Raw genomic sequence first — 10,541 nt, forward strand, 5'->3', positions numbered from 1 at the left:
GTTTTGAAGAATCAAAGAAATTCAAGATAATATAGAGAAGAAAATCAGAATTTTATCAGATAAATTTTTAAAATAGATTGAAATAATTAAAAGGAATCAAACAGAAATTCTGGTGTTGAAAAATGTGATTGACATACTGAAGAATGCATCAGAGTCTCTGAATAGCAGAATTGATCAAGCAGAAGAATTACTGAGCTTGAAAAAATGCTATTTGAAAATACAGTCAGAGGAAACAAAAGAAAAACAATAAAAAACAAAAAAGCATGCCTACAAGATCTAGAAAATAGCCTCAAAAGGGCATATCTAAGAGTTATTAGGCTGAAAGTGGAGGCAGAGAAAGATATAGGGGGTAGAAAATTTATTCAAAGGGATAATAAAAGAGAACTTCCTAAACCTAGAGAATGATATCAATATTTGAGTTCAAGAAGGTTATAGAATACCAAGCAGATTTAACCCAAAGAAGACTACCTCAAGGTATTTGATGATCAAACTCCCAAATGTCAAAGATAAAAAAGGGATCTTAAAAGCACACAGAGAAATAAAACAAATAACATAAAATGGAGCTCTAATACATCTGGAAGCAGACTTTCAGTGGAAATATTACAGGCCAAGAGAGAGTGGCATGACATATTTAAAGTGCTGAAGAAAAAAACTTTTACACTGGAATACTATATCCAGCAAAAATATCCTTCAAGCATGAAGAAGAAATAAAAACTTTCCCAAACAAACAAAAGCTGAGGGATTTCATTAACACCAGACCTATCCTACACAAGAAGTGTTGAAGGAGTTCTTCAATCAGAAAGAAAAAGACATTAATGAGTAGTAAGAAATAATCTGAAGGCACAAAACTCACTGGTAATAGCAAGTACGCAGAAAACACAGAATATTATAACACTGTAACTGTGGCGTGTAAGCCACTCATTTTAAGCAGAAAGACTAAATGATGAACCAATGAAAAATAATGACTACAACAGCTTTTTAAGACAAAGAGAGTACAATGACTGGCTAGGCATGGTGGCTCATACCTGTATTCCCAGCACTTTGGTAGGCTGAGTCAGGTGGATCATGTGAGTCCAGAAGTTCAAGACTAGCCTGGGCAACATGGTGAAACCCTGTCCCTACCAAAAATACAAAAATTAGCCAGTCTTTTAACACAATCTCCAAATAAATAAATACATAAATAGATTAAAATTTTAAAGTAAAATTTAAAAAATTGGAAACAAAGAGTACAATGAGATATAAATTAAAAAATAAAAATTTAAAAATTGGGGGATAAAGTGCAGAATTTTTACCAGTTATCTTTTTGCTTGTTTATTTATACAATGAGTATTAAGTTGTCATTAATTTAAAATAATGGGTTATATGATAGTATTTGCAAGCCTCATGGTAACCTCAAATTTTAAAACATACAATGAATCCATAAAAATAATAATAAAAAATTAAATCATAACACAAGAGAAAGTCACTTTCACTAAAAAGAAGACAGGGGCCAGGAACAGTGGCTCACACCTCTAATCCCAGCATTTTGGGAGGCCGAGGCAGGTGGGATCACCTGAGGTCAGGATTTCGAGACCAGCCCGGTCTTTACTAAAAATACAAAAATTAGCTGGGTGCGGTGGCAGGCACCTGTAATCTCAGCTACTGAGGCTGAGGCAGTAGAATCGCTTGAACCTGGGAGACGGAGGTTGCAGTGAGCCGAGATTGCACCACTGCACTCCAGCCTGGGCACAAGAGCGAAACTCTGTCAAAAAAAAAAAAAAAAAAAAAAAAGACAGGAAGGGAAGAAATAAGGAAGAGAAGACCATAAAACAACCAGAAAACAAATAACAAAATGGTAGACGTCCTTACTTATCAATAATAACATTGAATATCAATGGACTAAACTCTCCAATCAATCAAAAGATATGGAGTGGCCAAATGGATTAAAATAATAAACAAAACCCAATGATTATTAAAAACACACTTCACTTATAAAGATACACACAGACTGAAAATAAAGGGATGGAATAAAGGGAAAAAAAAAAGAGCAGGAATAGCTATACTTATATCAGACAAAATACATTTCAAGATAAGAACTGTAAGAAGAGACAAAGAAGGTCGCTATATAATGATAAAGGAGTCAATCCAGCAAGAGGATATAACAATTTTAAATATATATCCCCTCAATACTGGAGCACTCAGGTATGTAAAGCAATATTATCAGAGCTAAAGAGAGAGAGAGAGATCCCAATACAGTAGTAGCTGGAGACTTCAACACCCTACTTTAAGCATTAAACAGATCTTCCAGACAGTAAATCAAAAAAGAAACCTCAAACTTAATCTGCACTATAGACCAAATAGATCTAATAGCTAGCTACAGAACATTTCATTCAGCAGCTTCAGAATACACATTATTTTCTCAGCATGTGGATCATTCTCAAGGACAGACTATATATTAGGTCACAAAACAAGTTTTAAAGTATTAAAAAAAATACCAAGCATCTTCTCCAACCACAAAGAAATAAACCTAGAAACCAATAACAATATACATTTTGGAAACTATACACGTAATCAAAATTAAACAATACGCTCCTGAATGACCAGTAGGTCAATAAAGAAATTAAGGAGAAAATGGAAAAGTTTATTGAAACAATGATAATGGAAACACAACATACCAACACCTATGGTATGCTGTGTTTGTGTATATTGAACCATCCTTGCATCCCAGGGATAAATTTATCCCAAGGATAAACACTCCCTTGCCAGTAATAAGAAGCAAATTTACAGCCATAAATACCTACATTAGAAAAGAAGGAAAACTTCAAATAAACAACCTAACAATGCATCTTAAAGAACTAGAAAAGCAAGAGCAAGCCAAACACAAAATTGAAGAAAATAGAGAATAAAGATCAGAGCAGAAATAAATGAAATTGAAATGAAGAAAACAATACAAAAAATCGATGAAACAAAAAGTTGGTTTTTTGAAAAGTTAAACAAAATTGACAGACCTTTAGCCTGACTAAGAAAAAAGGGAGAAGATACAAATAAAGAAAATCAGAGATGACAAAGGAGACATTACAACTGATACTTCAAAAATTCAAAGGATCATTAGTGGCTACAATGAGCAACTATGTGCCAATAAATTGGAAAATCTAGAGGAAATGGACAAACTCCTAGAAACATACAACCTAACAAGATTGAACCAGGAAGAAATCAAAAATCCGAACAGACCAATAACAAATAATGAGATTAAAGCTGTAACAAAAAGTCCTTGAGTACACAAAAGCCCAGGACCTGATGGCTTCACTGCTGAATTCTATTAAACATTTAAAGAAGTACTAACACCAATCCTACTCAAACTATTCAGAAAAATATCGTGAGGAGGGAATACTTCCAAACTCATCCTACAAGGCCAGTGTTACCCTACCACCAAAACCAGACAAAGACCCATCAAAAAAAGAAAACCACATTCCAATATCCCTGATGAATGTTGGTGCAAAAATCCTCAACAAAATATTCACAAACCAAATTCAACAATACATTTAAAAAACCATTCATCACAATCAAGTGAAATTTATCCCTGGGATGCAAGGATGGTTCAACATACACAAATCAATCAATGTGATACATTATATCAACAGAATGAAAGACCAAAAAAAGATTATCTCAATTGATGCTGAGAAAACATTTGAAAATATTCAACATCCCTTCATGATAAAACCCTCAAAACCTGAGTATAGAAGGAATATACCTCAACACAATAAAAGCTGCATATGACCTACTCACAGCTAGTATCATATTAAATGGGGAAAAAGCTGAAAGCCTTTCCTCTAAGATCTGGAGCATGACAAGGATTCCCATTTTCACCACTGTTATTCAATATAATACTTGAAGTCCTAGCTAGAGCAATCAGAAAAGATAAAGATAAAAAGAGCATCCAAACTGGAAAAGAAGAAGTCAAATTATCCTTGTTTGCAGATGATATAATCTTATATTTCGGAAAACCTAAAGACTCCACAAAAAACTCTTAGAACGGATAAACAAATTCAGTCAAGTTGCAGGATACAAAATCAACATACAAAAATCAGCAGCATTTCTATATGCCAATAGTGAACAATCTGAAAAACAAATCAAAAAACTAATACCATTCACAATAGCCACAAACAATTAAATAGCTAGGAATTAATCAAAAGAGTGAAAGATCTCTATAATGAAAACTACAAAACACTGACAAAAGAAAATGAAGAGGACACCAAAAATGGAAAAATATTCCATGATCATGGAATAGAAAAATCAATATTGTTAAAATGTCCATACTACCCAAAACGATCTACAAATTCAATGAAATCCCTATCAAAATACTAATGACATTCTTCACAGAAATACAAAAATACAATTCTGAAATTTATATAGAACCATAAAAGACTCAGGATAGCCAAAGCTATCCTAAGCAAAAAGAACAAAACTGGATGAATCACTTTACCTGACTTCAAAGTATACTGCAAAGATATAGTAACCAAAACAGCATGATACTGGCATAAAAATAGACACATAGACCAATGCAACGGAATAGAGAACCCAGAAACAAATCCACACACCTATAGTGAACTCATTTTTGACAAAGGTGCCAAGAACATACACTGGGAAAAAGACAGTCTCTTCAATAAATGGTACTTGGAAAACTGGATATCCATATGCAGAAGAATGAAACTAGACCCCTATGTCTCACCATATACAAAAAATCAAATCAATATGGATTAAGGACTTAAATATAAAACCTCAAACTATGAAGCTACTTCACAAAAACATTGGGGAAAATCTCCAGGACATTGGTCTGGGCAAAGATTTCTTGAGTAATACCCCATAAGCACAAGCAATCAAAGTAAAAATGGACACATGTGATCACAACAAGTCAAAAACTCCTGCACAGCAAAGGAAACAATCAATAAAATAAAGAGACAAACAATTTCTCCTATTCTTGGAGAAAATATTCACAAACTACACATCTGACAAGGGATTAATAACCAGACTACTATAAGAAGCTCAAACAACTCTATAGGAAAATATCTGATAATCCAATTTAAACAATGGATAAAACATTTGAACAGACATTTCTCAAAAGAATACATACCAATGGCAAAGAGACACATGAAAAGGTGCTCAACATCATTGATCATCATGGAAATGCGAATCAAAACTACAATGAGATATCATTTCACTCCAGTTAAAATGGCTTATATCCAAAAGACTGGCGATAATAAATGCTGATGAGGACATGAAGGAAAGAGAACCCTAGTACACTGCTGGGAATGTACATTTAATTATAACCACTATGAAGAACAGTTTGGAGGTTTCTCAAAAAACTAAAAATATGACGACCCAGCAATTCCCCTGCTAGGTATATACCCAAAAGAAAGGAAATCAGTATATCGAAGAGATATCTGCACTCCCATGTTTGTTGCAGCTCTGTCCACAATAGCCAAGTTTTGGGAGCAACTTGAGTGTCCATCAATAGATGAATGGATAAAGAAAATGTGGTACATATACACAATGGACTACTATTTAGCCATTAAAAAGAATGAGATTCAGTCATTTGCAACAACATGGATGGAACTGGGGGTCATTATGTTAAGTGAAATAAGCCAGACACAGAAAGACAAATATCACATGGTCTCATTTATTTGTGGGATCTAAAAATCAAAACAATTGCACTCATGGAGATAGAGAGTAGAAGGGGAGTTATCAGATACTGGGAAGGGTAGTGAGGGGGGTGGTGGACAGATGGGGATGGTTAAAGGGTACAACAAAAAGAGTTAGAATTGATGAGTAAGGTCCAGTATTTGATAGAACAGCAGCATAACTATAGTCATTATAATTTCATTGTACATTTTAAAATAACTAAGAATATAATTGGATTGTTTGTGACATAAGGATAAATGCTTAAGGGGATGGATATCCCATTTTCCATGATGTGATTATTACACATTGCATGCCTGTATCAAAACATCTCATGCACACCATAAATATGTACACTTACTATGTAACCATAAAAATAAAAATTTAAAAATAACAATACATTTTTAAAAGTTATACATAAACACATACATTAGCCTAGGCCTACACAGCATCAGGATCATCAATGTCATTGTCTTCTACCCCTATTCTTATTTCACCCTGAAATAAGGTCTTCTGGGGCAATAACATGCATGGAGCCATCATTCCCTTGGATAACAATGCCTTCTTCTGGAATACTTCTGAAGGACCTACCTGAGGCTGTTTTACACTTTTTTGGTAAGTAGAAAAAGTATACTTAATAATAATGATAAAATGTATAGTACAGTAAATATAGAAACCAGTAACATAGTCATTTATTATAATTATCAGTTATGTACTGTACATAATTGTATGTGCTATACCTTTATATGACTGCTAGCACAGTAGGTTTGTTTATACCAGCATCACCACAAACACATAAGTAATGTGTTGCTCTATGATGTTACAATGGCTACGATGTGGCTAGGCAATGAAAATTTTTCAGCTTCATTATAATCTCATGAGACCACCATCATATATTTGGTTAGAGAGAGAGAGAGGCAGAGAGAGAGAGATCCTGTTGGTTTGGTTTCTCTGGAGAACTTCTAATATATTCTTCCTTTTTCAAGAAAGGCTTCTATCCTACATCATGTAGTCTTTTATCTCCCAACAACAGACAGCTTCCCACCTAAGTCTTATACAAGCAGCTTCTGTTTCTCTCCCAGTTGTCTTTAGATCTATTTCATCTCACCTATTTCACATAACAGCATTTGAAGTCAACATCATTAGATTATAGATAATGAAGCTGAGGCTCAGAAAAGATCAGTAACTTCCCCAGGCTTCTACAATTAGTTATACTGCCAGATGTGAATCCGTAATAATGAAGTGTCAGACCCATACTCTTTCTAATTACTGTCGAACTATTCATTTTTGTAAGTATGCAATGTGTGGCACAATGCCTGACACCTATTAGACACTTTATATGTGTACCTTTTGGCTTTCAATTACAATAAAAATTGTACTGTTAATTCCTTCACTGGAAGATGTCATTCTAAAAACTTGTCTTTATAGTCTATTGGGCTTCTCAAGCTGCTGAATGAGTCTGAAAATTACCCTCAGGTAAATTCTATACTTTCCACTAGTGATCACATGCTGATTGCTGTCACACAATTTTCTGATTTTTTTTCATTATAAATAAACCAAGTGTTGAGGTCCAGGACTTGGTAATAACTATTCTACTTATTCACCTCCGAAGAAATGGAAATCCCTATGGTACGTCAGAAACTTCAGAAATGTTTTGAAAGTTAAACAAATAGATCGTTCATTCATATATTGACCCTTGTTCTAAGTTGTTTAATGAATTTGGACTTTGAATATATGCTCGTTTTCTTCCCTTAATGACGCAAACTCTTCTAGGATTTAGATTTAGTGGGGAAATATGTTCCCAATCTGGAAAGTTTTGCATGTTTATGGATATGTATTTAATAAAGATATAATTCATAATTAGTTTTCCATGAAAGGATCCAACTTAAGTTTTAAGCCCACTTTAATAAGGGGGTTTCCTTTTGAAAATAATTGTTTGCAATGGAAAATTTTTAAAAACAAAAATTCCCACAGGTAAATGAAAGGGTGTTTTTAGTGTTTCTAAGTCAAATGGAGCTTCACCTTCTTTCTCTCAATTTTAATTGTGAAACCATGTTTCATGCCTATGATTCTTTGAATTGTGCATTTCCACCTGGTTTTAAGTTAAGCACTCAAGAGAAGCTCCAAGAGGAGTTCTTAACTATCTGAAGAACAATGAAGCTGCCGGAGCCTATAGATATTATTTGTGTGGTACAAATCATTAATGGTTCATTATGACAAATACCTTCTGTGTGAGAAGCTAAGCTCTGTGGCTATAGAGAAGTAGATGGTCCACTTGCTCAGTGAATGTGCAATCTAGCTAGAGAGATAGATTATGTTTCTAAACGATAACTTTAAAAATTGTTATATGAACGGTATAAAACAAGTATGTCAAACATAGGGCCACTCCTACCATTGATATCTATGGGAGACATTCCCAATCAATCATACTTTTTGTCTTAGTTAGGACTGCTGTATCAGAAATACCATAGACTGGGCAGCTTAAACAACAGACATTTATTTCTCATAGTTCTGGAGGCTGGGAAGTCCAAGATCAAAGTGCCAGCAGATCCAGTGTCTCGGAAGGGTCATTTCCTGGCTTGTAAACAGGCTCTCCCCTGTCTCTTTTTATAAGAGCTCTAATCCCTTATGATCTAATTACCCGCCCCCACCCCCAAAAGCCCACTTCCTAACATCATCACATTGGGGATTAGGCTTCAACATACGAATTTGAGGTGGTCACAACCATTTAGTTTATACCACTTCCTTTTCCCAATGAGCCTGGATAGAGCCTGAGTTTAATATCTTCTCAACACAATATAGTTGGTAGCCACCAGGAGTCAGAGTATGCATATGCAATGACATCTATTTGCCATTCATGTACAAGTAATGCTTTAGGAGTTCAAAAGACAGTAAAGTCATGTAAGAATGGGACAGTACAGTTAAAAAAGACTTTTTAAGGACAGTGGGACATGATCTTGAAACACGAATGAAATGTAGCTTAGTAGACAGAAAGCTGAAAGCATTCAAGCAGAGGGAATGGTGTGAACAAAGGTATGCCAGTGAGTATCGGTTGAGTGGATATGGGATGGTGAAGAGACCTTGCAAATAAGAAGTTTTCCAACCTATTGCCTAACTCAATAATTGCTTTCCTATATCAAAAAGAAGATACAATAAATAGTAGTTTCTGATTCTACTCTTTTCCCCCTCCTTGAAGGATTTTAAGGCCCACTTTGTAAAACTCAGAACGACATATTCAGAAGGAAAACTGACTTAAAAACCTTTATGGGCAACATTATCAGAAACCACAAACTTCAAAGAATATATGTCAGACTAAATCATTTACTCAAAGTATATTGGACATGAAGTAACTCAACAGTTAGAGCCTCTAATCTGCAACAAGAGTGGATGTTTGGTGAGGTTACACAGGAATTGTCGTGGTGCCCTGATTCATCCCCAAAAGGGATTTGTTTTCAGCTCAGACACTGATCAGAATCATTTCAGGAAAAAGGCAGGGTATAATGAAGAGCAAAATAACAGAGTTGCAGCACACAGATGCAGGCCCTAGGCAGACAGCAAAAGACCTCAAAACAAAGAAGCATTTCCACAACATTAAATATTTAGGACTTAGCACTTAAAAATATTTAAAATAAGCTTCAAACAAGTATGTAAGGAGAGACTGAGACTCAGCATTCTGAAATGAAAACCCCACTTTCCTTGCATGCCAGCAAAAAATAAAAATAGTGTGAGACAAGAGTAGCAATTTACTCACAGCAAAACACAGACAAATGGAAGAAAAGAAAGTGCAGACTGGATGACAAGAGAGAATAAGCCCTTGGGGAAAATCTATCTGGTCAAGGGGGAAAATCTATCTAGTCAAGGGGGAAAAGGTCAGAAATTAGTACACGGACCCATTACATGGTATCCATAGTTGTTGGATTACTTATGTTTGAGTCAACTTTCTTGAAAAGTCTATACGGTTGTTACTTTATAAGTGGGTTCAGTTGTTCTCAAATAGCCTTTTTAGTGTCTCCAAAATCTATTAAATAACTCCTTCAAATACAATTAGGGATAGCTGTTGGAAATAAAATAGATCTTGCTTAGCTATCAAATTCAAGATTCTGTGCTGAGAGTAGACCAGACTGATATCAGCAGCCTATTTTAGGTCAACATCTCTAGAAGCAGAGCCTGAGACAAGAATCAAGTACATGTGGTTTGCTGGGAAAGCACTCTTATGAGAAACCTGTGAAGGAAGGATGGTAGGAAGAGCAAGAGGAAGATGCTGAGCAAGAATGTGGTCTCAGGCATAGTCTGGTCTAGCCCTGATATATAGAGGGGTCTGGAGAGAAATCCACACCTCAGAGGCATCCCTTCTGAAGGAAAAGAAGCTTATACCCCATAACTTTGCAGGCCAGATAGTTTCCCTCATTCCAGGGTAACTTTCCAGAAAAGATGGGTGTCTGTGAAACATGAGCAGCTGACGTTCACAGAAGCTGAGAAGATGGGTGCACAACACAGGGGAACTGGGGGAGGCACTAAAGTGTCTACTACGCAGTCTCTTTGCAGAGTATTGTCTTACTTGGCCTAATTTTTGTCTAGCAAAACTGTATAAGAACCAATGCTAGAAAAATCTTATTCCAGCACCTCCAGACCCTTGCAAGGCTCTTTGGGAATAGCTCCTCTACATGGAACTAACCTCCAAATCCTAATTTCAGAAATGCCGTCTAAAAAAGAAACAACAGCAGCAATGTAACATTATAAACAAACGCTGTCAGATCTGGGTTTGACATGCTAGAGGATCACATAGGACCTATCACTGAACGCTGGGGACAAGAGAAAATGAACCAAAAGAAAAATGGGACATGAAAAAAAAAGACCTTGGAAATTTCATAATGATGCAGGCTAGC

Source organism: Homo sapiens, chromosome 3, assembly GCF_000001405.40.
Source record: "Homo sapiens chromosome 3, GRCh38.p14 Primary Assembly".
Taxonomy (NCBI): Eukaryota; Metazoa; Chordata; class Mammalia; order Primates; family Hominidae; genus Homo; species Homo sapiens.